The sequence below is a fragment of the Homo sapiens genome, chromosome 8 (genome assembly GCF_000001405.40).
Source record: "Homo sapiens chromosome 8, GRCh38.p14 Primary Assembly".
Taxonomy (NCBI): Eukaryota; Metazoa; Chordata; class Mammalia; order Primates; family Hominidae; genus Homo; species Homo sapiens.
In genome coordinates, this window is record NC_000008.11 from 94860514 (window position 1) to 94877560 (window position 17047).

General features: G+C 39.4%; 1 protein-coding gene across 5 annotated transcripts in view; it reads left to right on the forward strand.

The window, feature by feature from the left end:
- The window catches only part of INTS8 (integrator complex subunit 8), a 58460-nt gene that overhangs the window by 37227 nt on the left and 4186 nt on the right, over positions 1-17047 (forward strand). For 2 of the 5 annotated variants that reach the window (NM_017864.4, XM_047421952.1), the window contains 10 exons: positions 4993-5177; positions 5645-5678; positions 6627-6683; positions 6763-6824; positions 11371-11489; positions 12861-12964; positions 14039-14089; positions 15561-15634; positions 15708-15772; positions 15933-15976. In NM_017864.4, coding sequence (NP_060334.2) covers positions 4993-5177; positions 5645-5678; positions 6627-6683; positions 6763-6824; positions 11371-11489; positions 12861-12964; positions 14039-14089; positions 15561-15634; positions 15708-15772; positions 15933-15976 — 795 coding nt within the window. Of the gene's footprint in view, positions 1-4992; positions 5188-5644; positions 5679-5798; positions 5841-6626; positions 6684-6762; positions 6825-8178; positions 8301-11370; positions 11490-12860; positions 12965-14038; positions 14090-15560; positions 15635-15707; positions 15773-15932; positions 15977-17047 lie in introns of all 5 variants that reach the window. The other 3 variants (NR_073444.2, NR_073445.2, XM_047421951.1) reach the window with 3 other exon arrangements.

Sequence of the window (17047 nt, forward strand, 5' to 3'; positions counted from 1 at the left end):
AGTTTGCGTGAGCTGAGATGGTGCCATTGCACTCCAGCCTGGGCAACAAGAGCGAAACTCTACCTCAAAAAAAAAAAAAAAAAAAAAAAAACCCAAAAAACAAAGTAAAACATGTAGTGATTTAACATTATACGTCCCTGTCTCCTTTTTGGGTATATTTGGTGCTTCAGATTTTCCCATTATTTTTAATTGTTCCTATTACCTTTTGTTATTCTTTGTTTGTCCCAACTTGTCTTTGGTAATACAAAGTCCTTTAAATCGGCTGGGTGCAGTGGCTCACGCCTGCAATCCCAGCACTTTGGGAGGCCGAGACGGGCAGATCACGAGGTCAGGAGATGGAGACCATCCTGGCTAACAAGGTGAAACCCCGTCCTTACTAAAAATACAAAAAAAATTAGCCGGGCGTAGTGGCGGGCTCCTGTAGTCCCAGCTACTCGGGAGGCTGAGGCAGGAGAATGGCATGAACCCGGGAGGCGGAGCTTGCAGTGAGCCGAGATGGCGCCACTGCACTCCAGCCTGGGCGACAGAGTGAGACTCTGTCTCAAAAAAAAAAAAAAAAAAATCCTTTAAATCTGTGTTTTTCTGGGAACTTTTGTAAAACTGTGCCACTTTGTAACATTTGTGTTTGGTTACTTGTTTCTTCCTTCACGTATGTCCTTTTAAAAACTGAGCTCATTTCATTTTAACCCTTTCAGGATTTATTGAGTTTATTGATTTCTTCAGTTTTTCCCCCCTTTTTGTAATTTTTTTTTTTTTTTTTTTTTTTGAGACGGAGTCTCGCTCTGTCGCCCAGGCTGGAGTGCAGTGGCGCGATCTCGGCTCACTGCCAGCTCCGCCTCCCGGGTTCACGCCATTCTCCTGCCTCAGCCTCCCGAGTAGCTGGGACTACAGGCGCCCACTGCCATGCCCGGCTAATTTTTTGTATTTTTAGTGGTGACGGGGTTTCACCGTGTTAGCCAGGATGGTCTCAATCTCCTGACCTCGTGATCTGCCCGCCTTGGCCTCCCAAAGTGCTGGGATTACAGGCGTGAGCCATCGAGCCCGGCCCTTTTTTTTGAGACGGAGTTTTGCTCTTGTTGCCCAGGCTGGCGTGCAATGGCACGATCTCGGCTCACCGCAACCTCTGCCTCCCAGATTCAAGCAATTCTCCTGCCTCAGCCCCCCGAGTAGCTGGGATTACAGGCACGCACCACCACGCCTGGCTAATTTTGTATTTTTAGTAGAGATGGGGTTTCTCCATGTTAGTCAGGCGGGTCTGAACTCCCGACCTCAGGTGATCCGCCCACCTCGGCCTCCCAAAGTGCTGGGATTACAGGCGTGAGCCACCGCGCCCGGCCCGGCCCTTTTTGTTATCTTTACACTTGCTCGTGAAAACTGCCATACTTGAATTACCCTTTTCTTTGAAATTTCAGACATTGAATCATATCTATCTCTTCTTTTTTTTGGAGACTGAGTCCCCCTCTGTCGCCCAGGCTGGAGTGCACTGGCACAATCTCGGCTCATTGCAACCTCTACCTCCCAGTTTCAACCCATTCTTGTGCCTCAGCCTCCCAAGTAGCTGGCATTACAGGCATGCACCACCACACCCGGGTAGTTTTTTTTTGTTTTGTATTTTTAATAGAGACGGGGTTTTGCCATGGCAGGTCTAGAACTCCTGACCTCAGGTGATCCCCCCGCCTGGGCCTCCCAAAGTGCTGGGATTACAGGCATAAGCCACCGTGCCCGACCTGAATCATTTCTATCTCTTTAGTGAACTTTCTGGCATGTGAGTTCTTAATATATTGGGCACTTGTCTCATTATGGACACCAGTAATTTCTTAGCCTTTAAGAAAATCAGATGAGGGAACCGTTGTGTTCCAAGGTTACTGTCATTTACACTTACAATCATAGCTTGTCACTGAGTGCAAAGACAGCATAGTAACTCTTCTCTTTACCTCTGGCAGTGAATTCTGTGGAGCTGTGCACCAGGAGAGATAGGCATGTGTTTGTGTAATGAATGCTTGAGGGTCTGCAATGTGTAAGGACACAGGAAATTGTTTTGTTGGTTGCCTAACTCTGGGAGAGGCTGTCTCACTGCTTCCTGCAGTTCCCCTGATCTGGTCCAAAAGGAGGAAGGATGTGTGGTGACTTTGCGAAAGAATTGTCACTTAGATGTCTCTTCATATGTCATCTGGTGGTTAGGGTTTTGTGTGCCACCTTCCATACATAATTGGCCTCTCACTGCCTTGTTAATGTCAAGGAAAAAGGAATTAGAGAAAGAAGTTTAGAATGAGGGATTGTGTTTTGAAAAAAATACAATCTGAATCAGTTTCCACACTTCCAAGCTGGTGTGGAATGCACCACACACACACACGCACACACGTGTAGGAAAAAGTCTGAAAGGATATTAACAGCCATTATCTCTAGATAATGGGAAATTTGGTGATTTTAATGTTTTCTATTCTGTTACATAGGAACATATTTTCCTACTCATATATTACGTAATCACAAATAGGAACAGAAAATTCTTAAGCATGTCACTAAAATATACCCTTTTGAAATAATATAAAACTGTCTAGTCTGCCCCTTGGATCAGAGTGGGTGGCAGTGTCACATAATGGAAAGGGCACAGGTTATAGGCACTTGGATGATAAGAACCTAGGTAGTAGTGGGGGGTTGGCAGCCACAGTGGTGCTAGTATAGGCTAAAACCTTAGGTTGTTCATGTGGCCTACCAGGCTTCTTAAGGTGTGCATGCTTCTCCTCCTCCAGGTGCAGTTCCCCTGCCCCTTGGCGTTCCAGCCCTGTGCTGGCAGCACCAGCATGCCCACGCCATGTTTCCATTCTGCACCTGTGCACACGCTGTTTGTCACATTAGCCAGGATGTCCTTTCCAGCTTTGCGTGTTTGTGTGATTTCTCTGATGCTTTCCCATATTCTTTTCTCTGTAAATGAGTAAATCACTTCCTCTTCCTGCTTCCTTTGTACTGTTGTACTGATCCTGCTACTGTTGTACTGTTGACTTATTTCTTTTGTTGTGTTTATGCTGAATAGTAAGTTATATATCCACTTGTCTTCTCTATAAGACAATGAACTGCTTCAGGGCAGTTAATTTTTATGTTGTGCTTTCCATGATGCCCACCACACATAGTAGGTGCTCAAGAATGTTTGTGGAATTCAATTGATTTGAGGCCTTAGACTTTGAAAATTTTTTAAATTAAATTTATGTAATAAATTCAGTGACCTTAAAGCATATGATCCCTGACAACAGAAGATGAATTTGAGCTAAGAGCTACAGTAGCCCTGGCATTACACTGCAGTGAATAGCTGCATGTATTGTGATTCCATTTGTCAGAGAAGAGTATTTTAGGTAAGCTTGCAGGATGAAATATCCTGCTAGGCCATTGGTCCATGTCTATTCACCTAGTATAGGCAGGGTTTTTATGTTATTCTCACGAGCTTCGGAAAGCCACAGTACTCTTGTTAATTTTCTTAGGCATGATCACAGAGTTGTGGTTATGGAGAAGAATGTCCTCGTCCTTAGAAGATGTATGTGGAAGTATTTAGGGATGAAATATTGTGTCTAACTTAGTTTAATATGGTTTAACAAAAAAATTTATGTAGATATATAAAGCAAACATGGCAGAATAGTCACAATGTGTCAGGTATTTATTGAACTTTTTTTTTTATTTTTCTGTTTGAAATTTTTCATAACAAAAAAATGTAGAGAAAAACCACCAATTTTTGTCCTTGTCACAATCTTGCCACCTCCTTAAAAAAGCCGCCTTAAGCAGTAGGGACCCCTAGGTCCATTTTAAGTAGAAACCAGGGGTTCCTGATGGATTTGAAATTATCCTTGCTACTGCACCCTCTACAAGAGCGATGGAGTATAAAAGTTAATATGAACAAGGGTAAAGGGGCCCAGTTCTGAATTTGGCCAGATGCTGTGGCTCAAGCCTGTAATCTCAGCACTTTGGGAGGCCGAGGCGGATAGATCACTTGAGGCCAGGAGTTCGAGACCAGCCTGGCCAACATGGTGAAACCCCGTCTCTACTAAAAATACAGAAATTAGCCGGGCATGGTGACACATGCCTGTAATTCCAGCTACTCAGGAGGCTGAGGCACAAAAATCGTTTGAGCCTGGGAGGCGGAGGTTGCAGTGAGCCAAGATTATACCACTGCATTCCAGCCTGGGTGCAGAGCAAGACCCTGCCTCCAAAAAGAAAAGAAAATAAAAGAAATTCTGAATTTATTGTAAGTCAATCTTTCCCTGTCTTTTGCTTTTAGCTTTCCCACTCTTTATTTCTGGGTCCTCCCTACATCCTAGGTCATTGAGGCTGCCTTTATTCATACCAGTCACTTTGTGTAACCTGTCCTGCCTTAATTCTACCTCCTCAGAAGAGCAGTAGCTCCATTCCCAGTTGCTACCAATTTTCTTAGAGAAAAATTGCTTTAAATCTATATCCCTTAATTCTGCCAACTTCAGTTTCCTTATTCCTTTCCTTATTTTTTTCGTTGAAACAATTTTTTTTTTTAGTGATTAAAAGTTGTATGTGTGTGTATTTGCACGTGGGAGAGAGAGAGATCTGAGCACTATTTTAACCTCACCCCCTGGGCTTTTACCACAGTTAACATCTTGGTGTATGCCTTCCATTACACTTTTTTTTCCCTATGTAACGTGGGATCATACTATGTGTATTTAGCAACTCGTTTTTTTTTCCACTTAATAAATCACCTATCTCTTTGCGTTGTCTCATTTTCGTTTTCATTAGACTATAACTGTTCAGAAACAAAGTTCGTATGCTCGAACCAGAGGATCTTTCTCAGATTCAGATCTGTCAGTACGCAATGAGCCCTAAATTCCTCAAAGGTTGTACAGAATGCACAGCATAAAATAACTGTGCTTAGTATGTTTGGGCAGTCATTCCATCTTTCCTCCAGTGTGCCTTGATAATAGAACTAATGTGCACGACATTACAGATTATCTTTTGTGTATTTTGTTTTTCATGTTATAGCTTGGACAGCTTTTAGCAGCTACATGCAAAGAACTTCCAGGCCCTAAAGAAAGTAGACGGACTGCCAAAGACCTTTGGGAAGTTGTTGTTCAAATCTGTAGTGTGTCCAGTCAGCACAAACGAGGAAATGATGGCAGAGTTAGTTTAATAAAACAGAGGGAATCTACGTTAGGTATCATGTATCGGTATGTATTGGTACGTTTCTATTAGTTGTGTTTGAGTTCTTAATATTTATCCTATTTATACTATTAACCTATTAAAGGTTGATTTCAAGAACATCAGCTTTTATTCTGTATATCATAAAGTTGGACAATCTTACGAGTTCTGTAGTACTCACCTGTGATGAACCTGTCTGCCTTGGCCACCTTTGGAAAGATCTTTTGTTTATATGTCATTTTAAGAAACTATTAATCATTTAATCAACTGGAATTCAAAATCAGTAGTATTTAAGGTTGGATAGTATTGAAGACTTCACATGTGATTAAAACAGGGAAGAAATGTTATTAGGTTAGTATAACAGTAGAATATTACATTCCTTTTCACACTTGCAGAATTGGAGCATTAAGAATAAACCTTCACCTATAATTTACTTTCTTGATTTTATTTTTTATTTCTAATATTAAATGTGTATTCAAAAATTTTTGTTTTGTAGGAGTGAACTGCTTTCTTTTATCAAAAAATTACGAGTAAGTTTTATTAAAAATTGCTCTAATTACTATTGCTGGTTTTTGTAGAATATGACTAAAAATTATTGGGTACTTCAAATACTGACTAAATTATTATTTGTTTTTTAATTTTTTTTTAAGGGACAGGGTCTTGATCTGTCACCCAAGCTGGAGTGCTGAGGTGTGATTGTAACTCACTGCGTCTTCTAATTCTTGAGGTTAAGCAGTCCTCCTGCCTCAGCTTTCTGAGGAACTGGGACTACAGGCACATGTAACCATGCCCAGCTAATTTTTTGTAGAGATGAGGTCTCCCCTTGTTGCCCAGGCTAGTTTCTAACTCCTGGTCTCAAATTATCATCCCTTCTTGGCCCCTCACAGTGCTGGGATTACAGGTGTTAGCCACCTTGCCTGGCCTCTGGTTAAATTATTAAAGTGACCTGTTAATGTGCTTTTCTTCAGTGATCATTATTGGTGGGTGGGATATTCTGACTGGAAAAGTTTGTATTGCATTTACTTTACCATGTTTTAGTGAACGGAGCAGGTATTTCTTTAAATTGTAAAGAAGTCTTCATAATAGGGGCTAGATGTGTGAAGCCTGGCTTTAATTTTTGCTTAGTAGGATCAATGTCATATTTACTTATTGGACGTAACCTAGGTTTCACTCTTTGAACATTATTTTAAGGGATAAAAAGTTACTTGAGAGTCATGTGAGGAGTTGAGCGTGGAGATAGCACCATAAGCCAAACATTTATGCTAATTTTATGTAAATTATGTGCTATGGTCCACGCCCCGCCCCCACATGCGATTAAAAAGTTGATTTTTAGTGTGCTAAAGCACATGCTAAAACAGATGCTACATTTTCAAAAGGCAAGGGTCTTTTAGAATGCTTGATGTCTGTGAGGTTGACAGGAGCAATATTAAATAAATATACATACACTGTTTAAGGATTCTGTGTTTTCTTTCTCATAGGAACCACTCGTTTTGACTATTATTTTATCACTCTTTGTGAAACTTCACAATGTTCGGGTAAGTATTTCATAATTTCATTTAGAAAAATTTAAAAGAAATTTCTTTGTAAATCACACCTTTTTTTTTCTTTTTAAAGGAGGACATTGTGAATGATATTACAGCTGAACACATTTCTATTTGGCCATCTTCCATTCCCAAGTAAGTAGTGGTATAGCTTTTATTTTATTAATTGAGTTATGTATTTGGAAACCATTCTGACTAGTATAGATACCCTTAGATAATTTTATTAAAGGGCCAGAAATCTAAGATTCTACAGTCTTTGTGTTTCTCTATTATGATAATGATAATTATCTTCCTGTAAATTGTGGATAAGGCATAACCCTTTTTTTTTTTTTTTTTTTTGAGGCAGAGTCTCACTCTGTTGCCCAGGCTGGAATGCAGTGGTACAATCTCTGCTCACTGCAATCTCTGCCTCTTGGGCTCAAGCAATTCTCATGCCTCAGCCTCCCAAATAGCTGGGATTACAGGCACCCACCACCACGCCTGGCTAATTTTTGTATTTTTAGTAGACACATGGTTTTGCCATGTTGGCCAGGCTGGTCTCAAACTCCTGACCTCAAGTGATCTGCCCACCTCAGCCTCCCAAAGTGCTGGGATTACAGGCAGGAGCTACCACACCTGGCCCAGCATAACTCTTAAGTAGGAGTTAAGATTTATCAGCCTTGGAACAGAAGATATAAGTGGTCCTGATTTTCAGTAGAATTGGAAAATTGGGGCCAATGAAAGAATGACTTTCTATCAGGTTTCCAGCATCTTATTTCTTTTACAAGTATCTATTTGAAAGTGATTTCTTTTTTCATAATTTTTTGTATGTCTCATCTAATGCTGCAGTTATCAAAAGGCTCCCAATCTCTTTTAGTTGCTGTAGGAACTAAACTAAACTTCTTTAATTACTTTGAGAAATATTCCCTTTTGCATGCACTACCTGAGAATCACAGTAAGATGATGGGGACTTTTTTTAGGGGAGGAAAAAGGGTTCATTTACTTGAAGAAATCATGTACATTTTTCTTTTCCCACACATAGCACTTCTCATGTAGGGGAATCAACTTGTTTCCTCACAGATGTTTTTCCTCCCTGCCCTCCCTCTCAGTCTTCTTAGTTTGTGCTTGTCCAAGCCTTATGTTATTACTCTTAGTGGCATCTTTGAAGAAGAAAAGATTTCGGTACATAGACAAGCTGATAATAGAATAATAGTAAAGAATTTGTTTCCGTCTCAATCTTAGAGATTGGAAAAGCTCTCTGTCTCATCCAGGGATTTGGAGGGTCAGAGCAGGTGAGTGCCCCTGCCCTCCACTTACTGAGGCTTGTTTCCCAAGGGAGCACCATGCTGCATGAAGCACATGTGCATGCTCCACAGCATTTGAACTGCAGAGTCCGTCATCCTGTGTTCCTGATTTTTATATAAAATCTGTTGTTAGATACCAATTCAAGAATCAGGTAGAGACAGTTTTTCTTTTCTTTTCTTTTCTCTTTTCTTTTCTTTTTTTTTAGACATCACGTTGCTTTGTCGCCCAGGCTGGAGTGCAGTGGTGAGGTCTCAGCTCACTGCAACCTACGCCTGCAAGGTTCAAGCGATTCTCATGCCTCAGCCTGCCAAGTATCTGGGATTACAGGTGCATGCCACCACCCCCAGCTATTTATTTGTATTTTTAGTAGAGACAGGGTTTCACCCTGTTTCCCAGGCTGGTCTTGAACCCCTAGCCTCTAGAGATCTGCCCACCTTGGCCTCCTAGAGCTCTGGAATTATAGGCGTGAGCCACCATGCCCACCCAGTTTTGGATTTTTTTTTTTTTTTTTTTGAGGCAGAGTTTTGCTTTTGTTGCCCAGGCTGGAGTGCAGTGGCGCAATCTCGGCTCTCCACAACCTCTGCCTCCCTGGTTCAAGCAATTCTCCTGCCTCAGGCTCCCGAGTACCTGGGATTACAAGCATGTGCCACCACACTGGGTAAATTTTGTATTTTTAGTAGAGACAGGTTTCTTCATGTTGGTCAGGCTGGTCCCAAACTCCTGACCTCAGGTGATCTGCACACCTCAGCCTCCCAAAGTGCTGGGATTAACAGGCGTGAGCCACCACGGCCAGCCCAGTTTTGCATTTTTTAATTGGTGGTTTCAGTGGTTGTGTTTTTGTTTTTTGGGGGTTTTTTTGAGACAAAGTCTCACTCTGTTACCCAAGCTGGAGTGCAATGGTACGATCTCGGCTTACTGCAACCTCCACCTTCCAGGTTTGAGCAATTACTACAGGCGTGTGCCACCACACCTGGCTAATTTTTATTTTTATTTATTTATTTACTTATTTTTATTTTTATTTTTTGAGACGGAGTCTTGCTCTGTTGCCCAGGCTGGAGTGCAGTGGCATGATCTCAGCTCACTGCAACCTCCGCCTCCCGGGTTCAAGCAATTCTCCTGCCTCAGCCTCCTGAGTAGCTGGTGTTACAGGCACGTGCCACCAAACACAGCTAATTTTTGTATTTTTAGTAGAGATGAGGTTTCACCATGTTGGTCAGGCTGGTCTCAAACTCCTGACCTTGTGATCTGCCTACCTCGGCCTCCCAAAGTGCTGGGATTACAGGCATGAGCCACTGCGCCCCACCTAATGGTTGTGTTTTTTAGCCTCTGTAGTATTACCTCTGTGGCCTAAGTTTAGACTGTAATGATTGGTTTCCAGCGTGTTTGTAAATGAGGCAAAAGAATTGTTTACCCTAGGGGCTCTGGGTCAGACTCACGGGGTTTGAGCCCCAGCCTTTTCACTTAGAGGTATATGACCTTCAATAAGTTGGTTTCTGTGCCATGTTCCCCATCTCTAAAATAGTACCTGCCTAAGAATTGTGAGGATGAAATAATATATTTTTATTTATTTATTTTTTTTTTTTGAGATGGAGTCTTGCTATGTCACCCAGGCTGGAGTGCAGTAGCGCGATCTTGGCTCACTGCAAGCTCTGCCTCCCGGGTTCACGCCATTCTCCTGCCTCAGCCTCCCAAGTAGCTGGGGCTACAGGCGCCCACCACCATGCCTGGCTAATTTTTTGTATTTTTAGTAGAGACGGGGTTTCACCATGTTAGCCAGGATGATGTTGATCTCCTGACCTCGTGATCCACCTGCCTCGGCCTCCCAAAGTACTGGTATTACAGGCGTGAGCCACCGCACCTGGCCTGAAATAATACATTTTCTAAGCTAGATATTTAGAATAAAGACTGGTACATAGTAGGCTTAACTATTATCTTCATGATGAAAGTACTTTAAATTGACCCAGAGAAAACAAAATATGACTAAATGTTTGACTAGAGAAAAGTATTTCTCCTGAGTGGGACTCTTTATTGATTCCAAGAATAGTGGGAATGGCACTGGATTGAAGATTACGTTTTTAAAACCAACTACTTGATATATAGAATTCTTACACTTGTAACATTTTGTAAATGTCTGTAAAATTGTAAGCCAATCTAACTTATATAACTATTTAAATTTAAATAAATAATGGACTATTTGCTAATAATCCCACAATTCATTTTCCACTGTACTGGGCTCTGGTGAGTTAGGGTAAACTGTAACCCCTCAGGGCAACAGAAGTACCTTGTCTAAATTCACCTTGTAAATGATAGAGCCATGCGTCTGAATCCACAGCCTGTATTCTCTACCCTTGTGCTTTACTGCTCTTAGGAGGTGGGAGCAGTTAGCAGTTTTTTGGGTGCCGGCCTCGCTTTTCTCTTCACAGTTCAATCTTCTGACTCTGTACCTGAAGGTGTCCACATTTAGCCAGGCTCACAGTACTCTTTTCTTGATTCTTGGGGGCTGCCAGATGCACTGATATGATATACTTGGACATCCAGCCCCTGACCCCATTAGGCCCCTGAAGCATCTCGAGGGGAGTCAGTAACTCTTGCAAGAAGGCTTAAGGTGGATGTAAGGCCACAAGGCAACATTGTCAGTGTCTGAGTCCTTGATTTTTATGTAACTTCTCATAGATAACAGAACTTAAAAATCATTTGGGGGCCAGGTGTGGTGGCTCAGGACTGTAATCCCCAGCACCGGGAGGCTGAGATGGGCAGATTGGCTGAGGCCAGGAGTTTGAGACCAGCCTGGCCAACATGGTGAAACCCCGTCTCTACTAAAAATACAAAAAAAAAAAAAAAATTAGCTGGGTGTGGTGGTGAGCGCCTGTAATCCCAGCTACTCAGGAGGCCGAGGCAGAGGAATCACTTGAACCCGGGAGGCGGAGGTTGCAGTGAGCTGAGATCGTGCCACCGCACTCCAACCTGGGCGACAGAGTGAGACTCCGTCTCAAAAAAAAAAAAATGATAATAATAATTTGGGGAAATTTTATGAGTCTCTTTTGTTGCCCATAAATTGTGCTAAGCAGAGGTAAGGGTTTTATCTCACTACTTCTGTATGCTTTAAACATTTGTAAAAGAGGCAAATACACTTTCTTGGTGCAGCCTTGTCTACCTTTGACATTCTGAAGAAAAGAGAACAAAAATCAGATTGTTTTCAACCCCTCATAAAAAGCCCATCACACTTTCTTAGACTTAGTTGTGTTGATAGTTCTTATAATACATTTACTCCTAGTATTTAGCATTATATTTATGTTCACCTAAATCTTGGCTGAGTTTTTGTTTTTAATAAATACATGCATGGAATTTAAAGTTGACTTTTAAAATAGAGATTAATGTTGTGTGTCTTTCCTTTTAGCCTCCAGTCTGTGGACTTTGAAGCTGTGGCAATCACAGTGAAAGAGCTAGTTCGATATACACTCAGTATAAATCCAAATAACCATTCTTGGTTAATTATCCAGGCAGATATTTACTTTGGTAAGTGAGATGTTTAGTTGCTTTGTGTTTTGTTTTTATAGCACTTTTTGAAGTGAAAGTAAATATATAACCTATTTTATTTCAATACTTAAGTTTTGTTGAGATTTACTTGTCTTTAGTAAAATTAAAGCAGTAAAAGTATTTGTACTTTTTTTTAGTGTAGAGCCTTTGGTTCAGATGCTTTTAACTTTACGTTGACTACCTTTATTCTCTTTTTCAAAAAAACAGTGAATTTTTTTTTGTGTGTGTGTGATGGAGTCTTGTTCTGTTGCCCAGGCTGGAGTGAAGTGGCACGATCTTGGCTCACTGCAAACTCCGCCTCCCGGGTTCAAGCGATTCTCCTGCCTCAGCCTCCCAAGTAGCTGGGATTATAGGCACCCACCACCATGCCTGGCTAATTTTTGTATTTTTAGTAGATACGGGTTTTCGCCATGTTGGCCAGGCTGATCTTGAACTCCTGACCTCAGGTGATCTGCCCGCCTCGGCCTCCCAAATTGTTAGGATTACAGGCGTGAGCCCCTGCGCCCAGCATGAATTTTTTAAATCTAATTAATCTTTAAGGAGAATGAGGTTTTCTTTTTAAAATGCTGTTTAGAGATTCTAAAATCTCTGCAGGTACAGTTGATCATTATTTTTATTCTTGAAGATAGATCCTAACTCTCCCCATTACTCCTCTGCTGGGTTATATGTGATAAGGTTTTCCCACTTGATACGAAACTTTCAATGCTTCTATTACTCTACAGATCAAATAAAATTTCTGACTAGAATCATTTCAGAATCTGTGTTTTAGGAGTTGGTTTTTAATTTTTAAGATTTTTTCCTATCATGCTTGTTTCCTAATGAGTTGAATTTTTTAAAGGGAAAGTTCAAGATATGAAGATAAAAGGGATAGTGTGCTGAACACCGTGGGTCTACCACCCAGCTACTAATTAACAGTAATTAGCTCATGGCCAGTCTTGTTTCACGTGTTCCCTTTCCCACATCATTCCTCTCTCCTCTGGATTATTTTGATGCAAATGCTGATTTTAATGCTCATTTCCACCCCAGCCCCCAAAAGAAGCTATCAGGTTCTCGATATCTATCAAGTTCAAGATATCAGCTTGATAGCTGTCAATTTCTTGATATACCGATTCTGAACTACTTCACAAAATTATAATTTGTTTCTCGTTTGGACATTTGGGAAATAAAATCTCCAGATACTAAATTCTGTACTAGGACATTTGGCAAGAAATACGAACTAACATTTTATTTCTAGTTCTGTGGTTTGAATCTGCTTTTGTTAACTTATGAAGTTACACCTGACTCTTTACAAAGGAATCCCTGTTTTTCAACTGTTACCTCTAATGCTTTATGTCTGTTTTTCTGTTTCAGCAACGAATCAGTATTCAGCAGCTCTTCACTATTACCTCCAGGCAGGAGCTGTGTGTTCTGACTTCTTTAACAAGGCTGTGCCCCCTGATGTTTATACAGACCAGGTGAATTGTTTTCGTGGGCTGGCTGGTTTCTTGCCTACCTGTATATGTTCTTCCTGGGTCCCCTTTTGGCTGAACTTACCCATTTCCTTGTAATGTGATCGTAAGTCCCAGGTTCATGGCTCTAGAACACATTGCTCTGTGTATTTTCATTGTCCTTATTTCTAGCACCTATTGCTGTCTTGATTCCCCCAAAACACCTCAAATTCAACTTGTCCAAACTGATTTGTGTCTGTCTTTACCATAAAGTAATAAACTCCTAATACACTCCTAATAAATTCACCTGTCCTTTCAAAAACAAAAACAAAAAACCTGCAAAATACCAAACATTTTTGTTTAACCATTTGAGTAGTTCAAGCCCAAACCCTGACTATCATTTTTGGCTTTTTTCTTTACTGACCCTCCTGCCACCATCCAGTTAGCTCTCACATCTTGTGGATTCTATCTCCTAAATCCCTATTTTTTTTTCCTAATTTCTTTGGTATATATTTAAGATATACAGAATAATGTTTTAATATACACAGTGAGATGATTACTACAGTCAAACAAAAAAACATATCCATTGCCTTCCTTAGTTACCCATTTTTTGTGATAAGAGCACCTAAAATCTACTCTCAGCAATTTTTTAGTATACATTATGGTATAATGAATTCTAGTCCTCATACTGTATATCAGTTTGCTAGACTTTTTCTATCTAATTGCAAATTTGTGCCATTTGACCTACTTCTTCCCATTTCCTCCCCATTCCTGCACCTGGTGTCAAATTTTGTCCGTTTTTTTTTTTGATATGCATTGCCATTTCCTCTGATGTAGGCTACCAGTACCATAACTTAAATGATATTTTAAAAATACTTATAATGGCTTTCAAAATAAGATTGAACATTTATTAGATTTTTGGTTTATTTTTTACAGCACTTTTAAGTTCACAGCAAAATTGAATAAAAGGTACAGAGTTCCCATATATCCCCCGTTCCTCCACACACAGCTTCCTCTTTTGACATCCCATACCAGAGTGACACATTTGTTAGAATCCATGTTAGCTGGTTTTTGAAAATAATGAGAATTTTGCTTTTGTAGGTAATAAAACGAATGATAAAATGTTGTTCTTTGCTGAATTGCCACACACAGGTTAGTTTATAATATTATGAAGTTGTTTTATTTTTACATATGTTAGAGTTTATAATAAATATAAAGCATTGAACTGGAAATTAGCTTTTATTTTCCATATCAAAATCACTTAGGGTATGTAAGAGTTTGGCATATTCTTTAAATTTTTTTAAATAGTTTATAGAATGTCAACTAAAATGAAAGTATGAATTAAAAACATTGACCTTTAAACCTCCTAAGTGGGAAAAAAGCATTTTTCAGGTTTTTAAAGATACTTTAGAAATGTGCATTAGTCATTAGGGAAATGCAAATCAAAACCATGAGATACCACTTCCTACCCACTGGGATGGCTGTAATCTAAACACATTTAAAAACAAATGTTGGTGAGGATGTGGGGAAATTGGCACCCTCATATGTTGCTGGTGGGAATATAAAATGGTGTAGCATCAAAATGGTGTAGACTCAGGAAAACAGTTTCCCAGTTCCTCAAAAAGGTAAACATAAGAATTACTATATGACCCAGCAGTTTCACTCCTAGGTGTATACCCAAGACAACTGAAAACATATGTCCACAGAAAAAATTGTGCACAAGTGTTCACAGCAGCATCATTCATAATAGCCAAAAAGTAGAAACAACCCTAATGCCCATCAAATGATGAATGACTGAACATAATGCAGCATATCTATGCAATGAAATATTATTCAGCCATAGAAAGGAATGAGTTACTGTTACGTGGTACAGCATGGCTGAACCTTGAAAGATTATGCTAAGTGAAAGAAGCTAGACACAAAAGGCTACATAGTCTATGATTCCATTCATATGAAATGTTCAGAGTAGGCAAATGTATGGAGACAAAGTAAATTAGTGGTTATCAGAGGCTTGAGGTGAGAGGGAATGGAGAGTGACTGCTAATGGACTTTTTTGGGGGAAGTAATGAAAATGTTTTTAAATTACATAGTGGTGATGGTTGTACAACTTGGTGAATATACTAAAAACCACCAGATTGGGTACTTTAAGAGGGTAACTTTTATGGTTTCTGAATTAAATTAATAAAAACTATTTTTTAAAGAGATGGACATTATGACCTGAGTGAAATGTTTTCTATGTTAAGCAGATTGGCAGCCTAAATTTTCCAAAATGAGCGTCTATACTTGCCAGCTATGAAAGGTTTAATTGCACACTCTGTATGTCCTTGAATGTCATGACACTTTTGCTTGGCAGTTTTCCATCCCCTTCAGTTTTCTGAACTGGCTTTTTGCCAGCTTCTCATTCAAACAAACCTCTAAAATTTGTGGTTGAGGTCACTGATGAAGAGAATATTGGTCAGACAGACACGTGTATAAAGGTTTTTGAAATTAAAATTGGATGGAATCCATAACTATGAGCGGATTCAATGTGATCTATAAGGCTTAATATAAGAGTAATTCAAGATTACCTTGTAAAACCAAGCTTTCATTACATGAAACCATTTTCAAATCTTTGTTAATGTAGGTGGCCATTTTATGTCAGTTCCTCAGAGAAATTGACTACAAAACAGCGTTTAAATCTCTGCAAGAACAAAACAGGTATGAATAATATTTTAAAAATAATGAGGTCAACATTTTTCTGCTTAAGAAGTAACTGAATTCTGTCTTTCAGTCATGATGCTATGGACTCCTACTACGACTACATATGGGATGTTACCATTTTGGAATACTTGACTTGTATCCTTTCATCCATGTGTGTGATGTTAGAATGATCCATTTTTATAAATTAAAGGAATATTTAATATTGTATATTTTCCAAATCAAAACTGAAAATGAGTTGAGATTCTCTCATTATATTTAATACTATCAGATTTATTTTCCTTAACTGATTCATTAGATCTTCATCATAAAAGAGGAGAAACAGATAAAAGACAAATTGCAGTAAGTTACCTTATGCCTTTCTTCAGTGGTACAGTTTCCAGAATATTAAACAATTGTTAAGATGTGAACCAACAAAAAATAGATTTTGTGTACCTAGTTACTGCCAGAATTTTATTATCAGTGTTTACTTTATAAAAGATCCTTTTTTGATAATTTTAACTGTTCCATGTCATTATATATTATTTTAAAATGTTAGATCATGTCATTTCTCAGTCCCAAACTTTCCAATGGCTTCTCATCTCATACAAAGTTAAAAGTCTTACGATGGCTTTATAAGGCTATATACAACTTGACCTCTAGCCTGTCCGTCTGACTTTTCCTCCTTGCTAATTTCTGCTACACCAGTACCCCTCCTGTTCTTTCAACAAGCCAAGAACATTCACCACCTAAGAAGGGGCTTTGAAATTTTCTCTTCCAAGAACATCCAACTTCCCTCAGATCTCTCGTCAATCATCCTTTCCTGATCATCTTATAAAGTAACAATTTCTGCTTCCCTTTTCCCTCCAGTACTCTTACTCTCATTTCTTTTTACATTTTTCTCCGGAACACTTATCAACATCTAACATACTGTATATTTTCCTAATATCTATTTCCCCAGGAGGGTAAGGACTTGTTTTGTCATAGTTGGTCCCTAGAATGGTGCCTGGCACATATTAGGTGCCCCAGAATCACTGATTAGATGAACTCTTTATCTAAATTTGATGTATGGGCCAAAACATTTTAAATTGTATGGCCATATTTACTTGTCTAACATTTACTGTGGCAGTATCACCACAGATCTTTTCTTTGCTCTTTCACTTATATTAATTTAAAAAAATGCTATTTATTAAGGGTCTTTTAAACTTTGTACTCGGACTAAAATATATGCCCATTGTTTAGAAGAAACAATAATAACAGCACTTAAAAACAAAAAGGAAAAAGAATGTGAAGGCCAGTTCCACTTGATTGGAGGCAATTCATTCTCCCTTTTCTAATTTACCTGGGGCTGGAAGGCAATATTGAAAAATTTTCCTAGCTCCTTTTTGCTATTTCCAAACCACTTCTACTTGTATCATTTTTTGAGACCCTTAT